This window comes from Homo sapiens, chromosome 9 (assembly GCF_000001405.40).
Source record: "Homo sapiens chromosome 9, GRCh38.p14 Primary Assembly".
In the NCBI taxonomy this organism is placed as follows: Eukaryota; Metazoa; Chordata; class Mammalia; order Primates; family Hominidae; genus Homo; species Homo sapiens.
The window spans coordinates 111,685,196-111,699,663 of NC_000009.12; the positions used below are offsets into that span (position 1 = coordinate 111,685,196).

The 14,468-nt window shown below is 34.6% G+C and overlaps 1 protein-coding gene across 14 annotated transcripts in view; it reads right to left on the reverse strand.

The window, feature by feature from the left end:
* Nucleotides 1–975: 975 nt before the first annotated feature.
* SHOC1 (shortage in chiasmata 1) overlaps nucleotides 976–14,468 on the reverse strand; it is a 108,767-nt gene continuing 95,274 nt past the window's right edge. For 11 of the 14 annotated variants that reach the window (NR_109816.2, XM_017014340.2, XM_006716975.3 and 8 more), the window contains 4 exons: nucleotides 9,036–9,167; nucleotides 8,604–8,753; nucleotides 6,356–7,316; nucleotides 976–1,675 (listed from right to left, as the gene is read on the reverse strand). Coding sequence is in view for 13 of the 14 variants with exons in the window: in XM_017014340.2 (XP_016869829.1) it covers nucleotides 1,575–1,675; nucleotides 6,356–7,316; nucleotides 8,604–8,753; nucleotides 9,036–9,167 (1,344 nt within the window). In the remaining variant the exon portion in view is untranslated. Of the gene's footprint in view, nucleotides 13,900–14,468 lie in introns of all 14 variants that reach the window. The other 3 variants (XM_047422866.1, XM_011518309.2, XM_017014341.2) reach the window with 3 other exon arrangements.

The following is a 14,468-nucleotide window of genomic DNA, read 5'->3' on the forward strand; positions in this document are numbered from 1 at the left end:
TTGCTCTTGAGCCTGTAGGCCCCACTGTCCCACTGGCCAGCCCTGCCTAGCGACCATGGCCGGTACCCTTTCTGCTCAAGGAAAAGAACAAAAGAGAGATAGAAAAAGAGTGAGAGAATAAATAGAGAAAAATGGCAGAGACCTGAGAGGAAAGTAGAGAACAATTAAAGAAAGGGGAAGGTAGGAAGCTGCTTAGCCAAGTTGCAACTGGCGAGTTACTGTGAGATGGTAGCAGGTGGACTATCTAGCCAAAAGTTGAGACACCAAATGTGGCATTAGCTACATTGTGTGGCTCAATGACCCTGTGAACTGTGGTGTGTATGTGTGTTTTGTGTATTCCTATGCAGCTTATTTCAGTTGGGTGTCATTTTTTAGTTCACCTAGTGTTTCTTGTGAACAAAATTGCATATAAGAATGTGAAATTCATCTTATGCCCACATTGTTCCCTGATATGGTGATTATTTTGGAAAATTTTTGAATTTTCAAAGGTCTATTTTTAAAAAACAGAAATGGAGTTGTGCAACATATAATATTTTATATATTGTTTTTCCCTTTTTTTTTACTTTATGTTATGGGCATCCTGCCTTGTCAGAGCACACGGACTTACTTTCTTCTAATGGTTTCATGATATTCTACAGTCTAAGTTGTTGATCTATTCCCCTACTGCTAGCATTTTTATTGTCTATAATTTTTAACTATTACAAATTATATGGCATTTCATTGTGTAATTGGATATTTCTTTAAGACAGATTCCTGGAAATGTGGTTGTTGAGTCAAAAGATAGGAGCATTTTTCCTCTTAGTGGGTTTACACAAACTGCACTAAAGAAGCTGTACAAACAATATAGGAAAGTGTTCTTTTCTTCAATATGTAGAAATTGGATAGTGTGAATTTTCAAAAATGTTGGCACCTGATAGGTGAAAAAACAGTAACATTGTTTTAATTTGCATTTGTCTAATAAGTAATGAAGCTTCATTGTGTTTCAAATGTTTATTGACAATTTTTGTTTTTTTCTGAGGAAATATCTGTTCATATATTTTGCCCGTTCTTCTATCAGGTTGTCTTCTTTCTATCAATTTGTAGGAATTCTTTATATATGAGAAATGTAAACTTTTTTTCCTATTATCTGGGTTGCAAATATTTCCTCTTAGTAATTTGTTCTTAAATTGTGTTTACAGAAAATGATACTTTAAGTTGGAAGTTTTCTAACTTCAATTTTGTCCTAGGTTTTAACTTTCTTGATGTGGGAGGGTTAACTGTGATGATCTTCACTTCCTGACTCAAAGGGTCAGACTGTGATGGAGACTCATTTAAATGGCCTGTGTGCAGGGGTGTCTGGAAGACATTTTGGATCTTATGATAATTATTCTGCTAATTGATAAATTAGAATATTTAACTTACAAAGATGCAAACCATAGGGCAGAATACATATTATGAATATTTAATACAGAAATACTGAGACATATATGAACAATTGTGTTTTCTTTAGTGTATGAGCAAATCTAAATAATTGCGCTAGTGGATTAGCATCAAAAACAGTGGAATATGGCATGTAACATTGCTCTTCTCCTCCTTCAAAAAAACCTCAGCCGAGTCTGCCCATCAACTCTACCAGGGACTTTTTCATATGCTAGACGTCGTTTTTTGAATTGTGGTAGTTGTGAGCACATAAAACCTGTTAAAAGGAGAAAAAGGAAAACCATTTTATTGCTTACAATAGTAAAGTATAGGTTTTTTCTTTTCCTTTTTTTTTTTTTTTTCTTTTTTGAGATGAAGTTTTGCCCTTGTCGCCCAGGCTGGAGTGTAGTGGCGCAATCTCGGCTCACTTGCAACATCTGCCTCCTGGGTTCAAGCGATTCTCCTGCCTCAGCCTCCCGAGCAGCTGGGATTACAGGCACCTGCCACCACGCCCGGCTAATTTTTTGTATTTTTAGTAGAGACAGGGTTTTGCCATGTTGGGCAGGCTAGTCTCAAACTCCTGACCTGAGGTGATCCACCTGCCTCGGCCTCCCAAAGTGCTGGGATTACAGGCATGAGCCACCATGCCCGGCTGAAGTATAGGTATGTTTTCCTCACTATTCAAACGGATTTTGTGTCTTCATCATCTACCTAAAAAGTGTCAAAATTTCCAAACTGGGATAAAATAATAACTATTAAAAAGTATGTTTTTAACATAAATGCCTCTGTACCTAATGGCCCGGTATTAAAAATTAGTGATAAATGCATATATTTTTATGCTCATGCCTTGTACAAATACTTAAATCTCCCTTGGTTTCAATTTTCTCTTCTGTGAAATGAAAAGTTATAATTCATAATCTCTAAATTCTCTTCTAACATTTTTAAGTAAAAACAACCCAAAATGGTTTGGGAAGCACCTCAGGCCGGGCTTCCTAATTCTTGAAAGTTTCCAATAAGTCCTCATTAATTAGGATATAAGTTAGAGGCTCATTTTGACAGACTTTGAACCTAAAACAAAGACATATTGCCTGGTTTCCGTGTACCTTGTATCCATCTTTGTGGTGAGAGTGTATACAATTCTGTCCGGTTTTTCTTCTTCTTCTTTTTTTTTTTCTTTTTTCTTTTCCAGTTTGCCCTTCCTATTCCTGACTGTGGCTTTTTTTCACTTGGGCTAATTTTCTTCTCATGAACATACACCCTTTAGGGGGATATCATTTTCACTAAGGACATATTTCGTTTCAGGGAGAGGTTATGTGTTTAGGAATCTATCTGTAAATTCATGTCTTTAAAGGCATGTCTGGAAAACAAATCTTTAACTCCAATTAAGGAGCTAAAGAATCCTTAAGTAAACAATTAGATGAAATACAGGGAATATTAATGACGACAGGACCTTGGTTCTTCACTGTAAAGCTGTGGGAGAGCCTGGACTACCAGTAGCATTCTGGTAAACGTTTAACAACCAGCTCTCGAAACAAGGAAAGGCCTGGTTTGTAGCATCTGCAAATTTTTGTGGTATGAAGACACCCACCATGGCTGATTTTAAGCTACCAATGTGATAGAAACAATGTTTTTTTCTGGATATCAATCTCTCACAGCCAATTCTAAAATTTCTAAAAATGCTTAAATTTCTTTTTCTATAGCTGCCAGGAAGCTTTCCCATGAAATAAATGTATATTTTGCACCTATTTAATAACTCCAATTTATTATCCATATATTATTTATATATGGATATCCATATATAGTTATCCCTATATTAGTATCCACATGTGCAATTATAAAGCACATACAAATTTCCAGTTAACCAATACAAAGTGTCCCAAGTACATTCACAGATGAAAACAGTTTTGAAGAGATTACCAGCATTTTGGACATTATGAGCAAAATTCACTATATCCTTGCCAAGTCAGATAAAGAATCATCATTAATAAGTGGAAGGAGTAAATAATAAACTGATAACAATGCAGTTGTCAGAAATAACAAAAGTTCAAAAAAACCAACAACATGAGAAAAACCCCACTCTTGGCTCAAAGAAAAAATTTATAATAGATCAATTAAGAAAAAAATAAAAATTAAAATACCATATTTAAAAATGGTATTAGTAGCTCATATTCAGCTTCCATTCTAGAGTCTTTAACATGCCATTTTCAATACTCTTGCTTTTAAGTTTTCCCTCATAGCTTGATCCTTGACCCACAGCTGTAATGTGAAATTTATTCTGAGCCCTGATGAATGATAGGTGGTGATTATATAAGAACTCACCTTATATGGCTTTTTAAAATATGATACATTAACGTGAAAAATCCTAGATTTGGATACTTACAGAGGCTGATTATGAAATCAGTAAAATGGAAAACTAAAAATTATAAAACAGTTTTAATAATTATCCCTGGGGATATAATCTCATAATTGCCAAGAGTTAGGGTACCATTATTTAAAAGTTTAAAAGGCAGGGTGGGGTGCAGTAGTTCACACCTGTAATCCCAGCACTTTGGAAGGCTGAGGCAGGCGGATTGCTTGAGCCCAAGAGTTTGAGACCAGACTGGGCAACATGGCAAGACTTTGCCTCTACAAAAAATACAAAAATTAGCTGGGTGTGGTGGTGCGTACCTTTCGTCCCAGCTACTCAAGAGGTGGAGGAGGGATGATTCAGCCTGGGTGACAGAGCAAGACTCTGTCAATAATAATAATAATAATAATTATTATTATTATTTTAAAAAGCAATGTATTTTGTCAAACAGACATGCCAAAAAATAAAAATAAAGCAATGTAGTAAGTAATTATATCATAGAGATCCCATATATACACTTCGGGACAAATGGAAAATTATCTTGAGGTTATGGGTTATGCTAATGGCTTTGGATAAATTTTCCAGGGCTGTGCCAATATTAATTCAAAAAGTGTTGTATCTTAAACAATGTATTTGGAGGTAATGATGTACTATGGAAAAATAAATTTTTTTTAATTTAAATAAAATTTGCCATATTGAATGTAGATACTAGTATCAAAGAGTCATGTGAACTGTTTGAATAAAATTATTTCATGGAAATAACTTGGAAATTGGAAGAAATTAATATTTCTAAACTGATATTATTTTATAGAGTATGTGATTTAAAAATATATAACTAAATTAATGAATTAAAATATAGGTAGCTGTTTGACTATTCTACTCATATACCTAAAAGCTTTAAGCTTTTTCTAACATTTAATGTTAGAATTTATTTAAAAATGACTTCTGGGTCTTCTCATTGGAAAATGGGAGGTTATATATTGGAGTGCCCTGTGTTCAAGAACATATAGTAATTCACATGTGTATTTTGTTTCAGAGTAGAAAAATATGAAATTTTCATCCAGTTTATGAAGTTAGCATAACTTTTATGTCCAAATGTGATAAGGCACAAATAAAGAACACAATCTAATATCATGAATGTAGACATGAAAATCATAAATATTAGCTACCATATTTAACAGCATATTAAAAGAATCTCTTAGGCCGGGCCAGGTGGCTCACTCCTGTAATCCCAGCACATTGGGAGGCCAAGGCGGGTAGATTACTTGAGCCGAGGAGTTCGAGATCAGCCTGGACAACATAACAAAACCCTGTCTCTACTAAAAATAGAAATGAATTAGCCAGGCATGGTGGTGCATGCCTGTAATCCCAGCTACTTGGGAGGCTAAGATGGGAGGATCGGTTGAGCCCGAAAGGTGGGGGTGGCAGTGAACCAATCATGCCACTGCACTCCAGCCTGGGCTACAGAGGGAGACCTTGTCTTAAAGAAACAAAAAATCTCTTAGACAAGGTAGCATGAAATATTAAATAAAACAAAAATATAAAAATAAAGAATCACCCCTCAAAAACCAGTTATGTTTATCACAGAAATGGCATAGATATTTTAATATTAGTAAACCTGTAAATATAATCTTTGACATGAATAGGTCAGTAGAGAAAACACATTTGATTTTTCCCAATATGTACTAAAATGAGTTTGAATAAATTCAGCATCTATTTTTCACAGAAGTTTTTACAAAACTAGACACAGAATACTTCCCATTAAAGTGAGGAACAAAACAAGTTGTAAGTATTAAATAAGAGCAAATCCAAGCATTACAAGTCCTGTAGCTTATACAATTTGGGAGCCCTTTTTAAAACAAAACAAAAAATACAAGATTTTCTTGGCCCCTCTCAGGCCTCACAAAAAAACCTATGAAAAAGAGAAGTTTGAAACTTAAGCTTCCCCCCGCCCTCCCCTTTTTCTCCTATCCTGGGGAAGGCCACCTTTGTACGGCTGTTAGAACTTAATATTTTGTTTTAGATGCTTGGGCCAATGCAGTAAGAAATGACACTGAAAGAAAAGCTAGAATCACTAGAAACAAGAAAATTAAATTGTGCTTTTAAAAATTTGATATGCTTAAATGTTCAGACAACTCAAAAACATCCACCAGAATGGAGCTAATAATACTGCCTATTTAATAGAATTGTTAGAATTAAAGTAAATAATCCAATAAAGCACTTAGAATGGAGACTGGCACCTAATTAGGCTCTTTTAATAAACGTTAGTCAGTTAAATATACCTGCTCCACAAAGAGGTTAATTTTCTAATTCACTGATTCCTCTGTTTAATCTTTGTTGATTTTAGTCTCCTGCTTTACTTAGAGTTGCACTGCTTTTATTTTTAACTTCTTAAGTTGAATGCTTAGTCCACTTAAGGTTATAATAATTTAACACAATATATTTTCTCTGCATTTATTTTAGAGTTTAGATTTTCTCTTTTACCCAACAGTTATTAGAGAAGTTTTTTAAATGTAGTAATTAAAACAAAAAAAATGTTAAATTTGGAGATGATTTTATCTTTTAAAATTAAATTTGAGAGTAGTTTTATCAACTATTGGATAGTGTTACCTGTTAATGATTCCTTGTCTCCTGAGTTAAATGAAGATTCATGGTGCCTTTTCTGTCCTAAACTTTTTCCAGCTCTTTGGTAGAAATAAAGGCTGTTGAATTCTTTTTGATTTGCATTAGAATCAGAAGCACGAAATAAATCCAAACTGGGGACAGATGGTAATTCTCTCCAGAAAGTCTCATCTTTTGAACTTTCACATGTGAGGCCTTCAGACTCATCTGATAGACATTTTTGCTGATCAGTGAATAAATTACCTTTCTGAGAGTACAATTTGTTACATGCAGTCTGCTGTGCACCATATTGTAAGTTGAACGGGTGATTCTCTTGTTCCCATATATTTTTCTTAAAGTTCCAATGAAGAGGAGATTGAGTGCCCTCTAGTGAAAAGATAGGGTCCGATACATCTTTATTTATGAAACCTTTTGCTTCATGTGTTCTCCTTTTCTGAGAATTTATAAAACGGGGGACAACTGACACTCTCTTCTGAGTGTCAGTTGGTGATTTTATAGTTTCACAGTTCATTTGTGTTAGACCCAAAGAAAAGACATCTGACTCTGAATCACTGTGGTTTAGAAAGGAGTTATAAGCCGGTCTCCTTGATTCTATATTAATTAGAAAAGGAGTATTCTGCCCTATATTAGATTTACAGCTGGAGTCTTTCCAGTAGCTGGTCTGATTGTATGAAGTCACAGGTGGTAAAAAACTTGAGATTTCTTTTAGTTCCATAATGGAAGAGTTGTCATTCAAAATGGTGGTTTTGTCTTCCTGCACTGTCTCTCCTAATCCTAAATACTGATAATATTCATTATGTTCTTGAATGACAGAGTCTAAATCAGAAGCTGAACTTTGAGAAGACAAGGTACTAATCTGATTCCTATTTTCCTGAGGTGACGAAATTTGCGGTGATTTTGTTATGGAAGAAGAACCAATCTTGAATAGGGAAGTGATGCTACAAAAATGCTAAAAAATGAATTAATATAATGCAAATGTCAGTTTAGTAAATATAAATAATGATGCTTATCTATATGGAAAGAAGGCAAAATATAAATAGGTAGTCTATTCATAGATATTACATTGATCCAGGTATTAAGAACATGAAATCATTAGGCTCTATTAAAAGAAAAATTCATTGTAATTCATACTTATTTTCTAATCACTTGTAATAGAATTTTTAATAGTCTATTTTTCAGAACAATTTTAGGCTCACAGCAAATACAATAGAATTTTAGTTATACAATTCATACATGAATACTATTTCCTTGATAAGAATTTTAAAATATTACCAGTAAGGCTAAAGTTATCTTTACAGCTAGAATTAAGGGTATGTTAGGACTGTTTGGAAGAGGTAACGTAAATACATGTGAATAGGGTATATAACTGAATTTTCTATGAGCACAATAATATTCCAAAATGATTTAAAGCTGACTATATTGAATTTATCTGTATAAAATAGCTTTAGAATGTATAATATAGGCTGGGGTTTATGGCTCATGCCTGTAATCCTAGCACTTTGGGAGGCCAAGGCAGTTAGATCACTTGAGGTCAGGAGTTTGAGACCAGCCTGGCCAACATGGTAAGACCCTGTCTCTACTAAAAATACAAAACTTAACCAGGTGTGGTGGTGCACAACTGCAGTCCTAGCTGCTCGGGAGGCTGAGGCACGAGAATTGCTTGAACCCAGGAGCTGGAGACTGCAGTGAGCCGAGATCAAGCCATTGCACTCCAGCCTGGGTGACAGAGGGAGACTCCATCTCAAAAAAAAAGAAAAAAATACTGTAATCCCAGCACTTTGGGAGGCCAAGGTGGGTGGATCACCTGAGGTCAGGAGTTTGAGACCAGACTGACCAAGATGGTGAAACCCCGTTTCTACAAAAAAAAAAAAAAAAAAAAAAAAAATCAAAATTAGCCAGGCATGGTGATGTATACTTATAATCCCAGCTACTTGGGAGGCTGAGGCAGGAAAATCTCTTGAACTTGGGAGGTGGAGGTTGCAGTGAGCTGAGATTGTACCATTGCACTCCAGCCTGGAAAAATAAATAAATAAAATAAAAAATAAAATAAAATGTATAATTGATAGCTAATGAAACGTCTATATGAAATTTAGTTCAAGTAAATTATTTCCTTGCTATTTGAAGTCCAAAACAATTAAACTTGGATACCTTCATTTTAAAAATCCTATTGTAAAAATAGATACTCAAATCGAAAGGAAATAAATTCATATCATAGTACAGATCTCAAATAACTAACCTTTAACACTTTTTCTGGGACTTCAGGTAGGAGTTCCTGAAGTTGACACAGAGTTGCTAATAATATCCAATGCAGTGAAGGTCCTTTATTTAGCATGAGCTGAGCCACCAATGGGTTAATACATGGAAAATCAAGTAAGTACATTTCTTCCTAGAAAAGAGTTTAAGAAATAATCAGTCAGTAGTCTTTTGAAAGTGAGCCATTTTATTCTACAAGTAAGTACATTTCTTCCTAGAAAAGAGTTTAATAGTCAGTAGTCTTTCGAAAGTGATCCATTTTATTCTACTCGTTGCAGCAGATTAAAACTTTTGTTATTGCACCTACCACTCAATTTGAGACATTTGGGGGAAAAATGTTACCAGAAAGTAAATTCAAATACAGGTTTTTATATTTGCTTTGCAATTATCTATTTTACACATTTAGAAAATATACCTCAGATGGTGAAACTTTAAGCCAGGATTTATCCAACCATTCATGAGGATCTCTCTTTGAGGTCATTAAACTGTGGTCAGCAATTTGTCGAATTATCAAGGCAGTTGCTTCTACTCCTGGGGCAATTATAAGCTAAAAAATATTTTTTATGTTAGATTATAGGAAATACTAGGAAGCAAAATATAATATTTTTTAAACAGTTTGTAATTAGAAGATAAAATTAAACAACAGCAGATTCTATCTAATTTTAGATAGAAACTATTGGTTTATCTATGTCCAGGACATTTTATTTATGAGGATAACCAATTTTCATTCCTTATTTAAATGTGATATCCTTGTATTTTTAATTTTTGGAACTAAATCATTTTCATTTCATTTGGCATTTATTAACAGAGTCATTAAAATATAGTGTTATATTTCAACTATATTAGAAAAATCAGCAATTTGAATATCACTAGTAATATTACTATTTTGCTGTTTCCAAAAGTTAAACCTAATAGTTGTCAATTAAAATAAGAATTTTAAAAATATAGTGCAAGATTTTTCAAAGACAAAGTTAAAAAATAAGGATACTTATAAATGAATTTGATGTTGTATTCAAAAAAGAAAAAATAAGGTTTTGATTTAGAGTAGTCATCATTCCCAGCATTTTGGGAATTGCTCATCTAATATTGGCTTACTGATTCTAAGATACCCCTGCCAAAAATGTGGTGTTTGTGTATATTAAATTTAATTCTAAAAAATAATTTTTTCCCATTAGCACAGTAGTAAGGAAAAAAAGTACAGAAAAAATAATTTCATAATATCCTCTGTTTCCTGTCTGACACTGTTTTCCTCCATGCCCTTCTCTCTTCTGAAATGTCAACCTTCTTTTTCTGCTTTCATTTCTTTCTTTTCTTCTTCATCTTTTAAATTTGATTGAAGGAAAGATAGTTCATGAGTTAGCAGTTTAACGTGAACAGAGAAATACTGCCCCAAATAATCATATCCTGGAAAATAAATATCCTGTACTATAGTGGAAATTTAGTAAACTGTAGAAATCTCACAAAATAATTATGACTTTTTTTCTTTTATAAGAATAGCAAATACAAAACGGTTAGTACACACCTGGGGAGTATATGCATTTTAAAGGATTTTCTTTAAATTACATTATATAGGGAGAATACACAGAAATATATTGTTCAATTCCAAATGTACTTTATTGCTAGTTTTGGGTGTTTTGAGAAGATATGACACTTTCATTTAAATATAAACTTTATTTTAACCCTTTTCCCATTTAGAAAAAAAAAGTACAGCACTCATTTAATTTTACATAAACACGCTCTTTGAGGCTGAAGCAAATCTGACTGATTTTCGATGTGAAAATAAAATATAAAAACTGTGCTTGGAGTTATTTCTAAACAGAAATAACATCAGAATCATCTGAATCATCAGAATTTTCTATTTCAGAAAAATCAGATTCATCAATGGAGTCTTCAGCCAACAACTGTTTGAGAATGATGTTAACATCACGAGTAGGAATACTATGTTTTCTAGGATTTGACATTTTCAGGGACTGAGAATTACTATATTTTGTAATGGAAATACCACTACTAAAAATAGAATGCTATAAATAGAAAGATATCTTTTGTTTCCAAAGTTGATATGCTACAGCGATGCAAAAACAATAATAAAAACGAGATATTTCGTGGCAAAGTTGTCTCAGGGTAAACACTGCAGCAACAAGCCTGGCTGGTGAGGATTCTCAGGGCAAATGGGAAAAGGGTTAAAAGCCATAATTTTATGATGGCGATAATGACAATTAATTTATTAGGGCAGGAATTCTGGGGCTCATGGCTAGATTTGGGAATTCAGGAACCTACTTAATTTGTTTGCAAAATTTTGCATGTGTGTATTTATGCATTTTCCTGCAAAGATGGTTCATAAGAAAATTACAGAACTTTTAAAAAATTGGAATAACACTTAGCATAACACTAGTAGCAGTATTTTCTTTTAATTTAAGAAAATGTTCTTAAACTTCCTAATACTTCCTTGATTTTCAAGTTCTTCAGATGCCTGAAAATAAAAAGGTGCTAATGGTCCTGATGTGCTCTAAGAGATCAAAAGCCATGCTACTAAATAAAGTAAGGTAAAGCAACAATATGTTCTAAAATAATATGAGTCCAGGGAGCCTCCTTTAATACAACAATGTCATCAAGTCAGGAAAACAGGAGGCTTATGAGTACTGAGGACATACTGATAATAGAGTAAGAGCAAATTGACCATAGTTGCCTCTCAATGTCCATTGAAAAAATGACCTGCTTTTTAGATTATTATGTAAAACCTGAAAAGCTTTTAGAATAGTTTGATCCAGGTGGAAATAGACTTGTTTGGAATGGATTGTTCCTAGGCGGTACTCCTATTTCATCCCCAAATGCCTTATTTGGATCATGCCCTCCATGGGCCATGTTGCTGTATTTGAATATAGTATCACTCACTGGTATCATATGCCCCATGCATAGAGGAAAAAAACTTTCTAAAGCATATTTTGCCTGTAATGGTTTACCCTGAGCTGGGAAGAGAAGAAGCTAAATAAGTGGTAAGACCTCACTAGAGACAAATTTACATTTGTCATTCACTTTAGGTAACTTTTCTAAGAATTTTATTTCTGTTTAGTATGCAGCACAGAAACAAAATTATCTGGAATTCCAGTTCAAACAGATCATTTGTTGATTTTCTTAGCAAGTGGTACTTTGAATTCCACTTAGTAGACATTTATTGAATGTTTTTGCTTTGTGCAAAGCACTATGCTAGCTGCTAGGTTTTACAAATAAAAAGAGCATCATTCTTACCCATCAGGGTGGAGGATATATGAATAAATATCCCCATACCATAATAAGATATGAACTGTCAGCAGGAGAATGGGAGGAGAGATGATGCATCCTGAGAGAGTAGGATTGGGGCAGGTTTCTTTTCTCTCCTTTTTTTTTTTTTAATTATACTTTAAGTTCTAGAGTACATGTTCACAATGTGCAGGTTTGTTATATATGTATACATGTGCCATGTTGGAGTGCTGCCCCCATTAACTCGTCATTTACATTAGGTATATCTCCTAATGCTATCACTCCCACCTCCCGCCACCCCACGACAGGCCCCGGTGTGTGATGTTCCCCATCCTGTGTCCAAGTGTTCTCATTGTTCAATTCCCACCTATGAGTGAGAACATGCAGTGTTTGGTTTTCTGTCCTTGTGACAGTTTGCTCAGAATGATGGTTTCCAGCTTCATCCATGTCCCTGCAAAGGACATGGACTCATCCTTTTTTATGGCTGCATAGTACTCCATGATGTATATGTGCCACATTTTCTTAATCCAGTCTATCATTGATGGACATTTGAGTTGGTTCCAAGTCTTTGCTATTGTGAATAGTGCAGCAATAAACATACGTGTGCATATGTCTTTATAGCAGCATGATTTATAATCCTTTGGGTATATACCCAGTAATGGTATGGCTGGGTCAAATGGTATTTCTAGTTCTAGATCCTAGAGGAATCGCCACACTGTCTTCCACAATGGTTGAACTAGTTTACAGTCCCACCAACGGTGTAAAAGTGTTCCTATTTCTCCACATTCTCTCCAGCATCTGTTGTTTCCTGATTTTTAATGATCGCCATTCTAACTGGTGTGAGATGGTATCTCATTGTGGTTTTGATTTGCATTTATCTGATGGCCAGTGATGATGAGCATTTTTTCTTGTGTCTGTTGGATGCATAAATGTCTTCTTTTGAGAAGTGTCTGTTCATATCTGTTGCCCACTTTTTGATGGGGTTGTTTGATTTTTTCTTGTAAATTTGTTTAAGTTCTTTGTAGATTCTGGATATTAGCCCTTTGTCAGATGGGTAGATTGTAAAAATGTTCTCCCATTCTGTAGGTTGCATGTTCACTCTGATGGTAGGTTTCTTTTGCTGTGAAGAAGTTCTTTAGTTTAATTAGATCCCATTTGTCAATTTTGGCTTTTGTTGCCATTGCTTTTCGTGTTTTATTCGTGAAGTTGTTGCCCATGCCTATGTCCTGAATGGTATTGCCTAGGTTTTCTTCGAGGGTTTTTATGGTTTTAGGTCTAACATTTAAGTCTTTAATCCATCTTGAATTAATTTTTCTGTAAGGTGTAAGGAAGAGATCCAGTTTCAGCTTTTTACCTATGGCTAGCCAGTTTTCCCAGCACCATTTATTAAATAAGGAATCCTTTTCCCATTTCTTGTTTTTGTCAGGTTTGTCAAAGATCAGATGGTTGTAGATGTGTGGTATTATTTCTGAGGGCTCTGTTCTGTTCCATTGGTCTATATCTCTGTTTTGGTACCAGTACCATGCTGTTTTGGTTACTGTAGCCTTGTAGTATAGTCTGAAGTCAGGTAGCGTGATGTGGGGCAAGTTTCTTAAAGGAGGTAGCGCGTTTGAACTGGGCAGTGAAAGACAGGTAGAACTCTGACAGCTAGTGGTAAGAGAATCGGGGAATAGTATTCCTGGGGGAAGGCAGGCCAGAATGACATGTTTGTGCAAAGGCTGAGAGGTGACAGTATGGAGGCATACTCAGTAAATGGTGAGTAAAATAATGTTAAAGAAGGAATCACTAAGGGCCACATTGTGGAGGAGTTTGAATCCAGCTGAGTTTGAACTTTATGTTGACTTAAGTGGGAAGCTATGGACAGTCTTTGAGCAAGAAATTCAAATCAACAGCAAATTTTTATCAAGAGACTACTATGTACCTGGCATTGTGCTAGGTTCCAGGAATAAAAAAAAAGAATAAATATGTTTCCTTACCTTTAAGGAGCTTATAGTCTAGTGAGTGAAATATTCACAGCTGTATTTCGGAAATGTAATTGGTGTCTATATGTGATGAAGTGGGGAAAGAGTAGAAAAGGGATATTAGTTAGGAAGCTACTTTAAAAATCCAAGTGTGAGGTGGTGAAGGCCTGAATTTAGGCCTAGAAGAAGTAGAAGGAGAGACATACTCTAGATACACTGCAGAGTTAAAAAGAAGACTTAGCTACTAATTAAATTAGAATAGTGATACCATAAACTAAGCTTGTGGGAGGATGAGAAGCTGTGTTTTGGACATGTAGAGTTTGAGGTACTTGTTGGATATTCACGTGGAGATTCCCAGTAGTCTGCTAGAATACAGGTGCAGACCTTAAGAAATGTCAGGAAAAATTTAAGAATTATACTCAGAAATGAAAGCAAAATCTGTGGGAATCTCTAAGTTTATAAAGAAAAGAATGTAATGTGATAATGGAACAGTGCTGAGCCCTGAACTTGGACAAATGTCTAAATTTCAGAGTGGGACACTGAAAAAGGGGGCCAAGGGAAGAGACTGATTAGAGATCACCAATATATTACCCTAGTATATGTCTTAAGAGTTCCATTTACAGCAGATACAAGCTTAGTACATCTTTCAT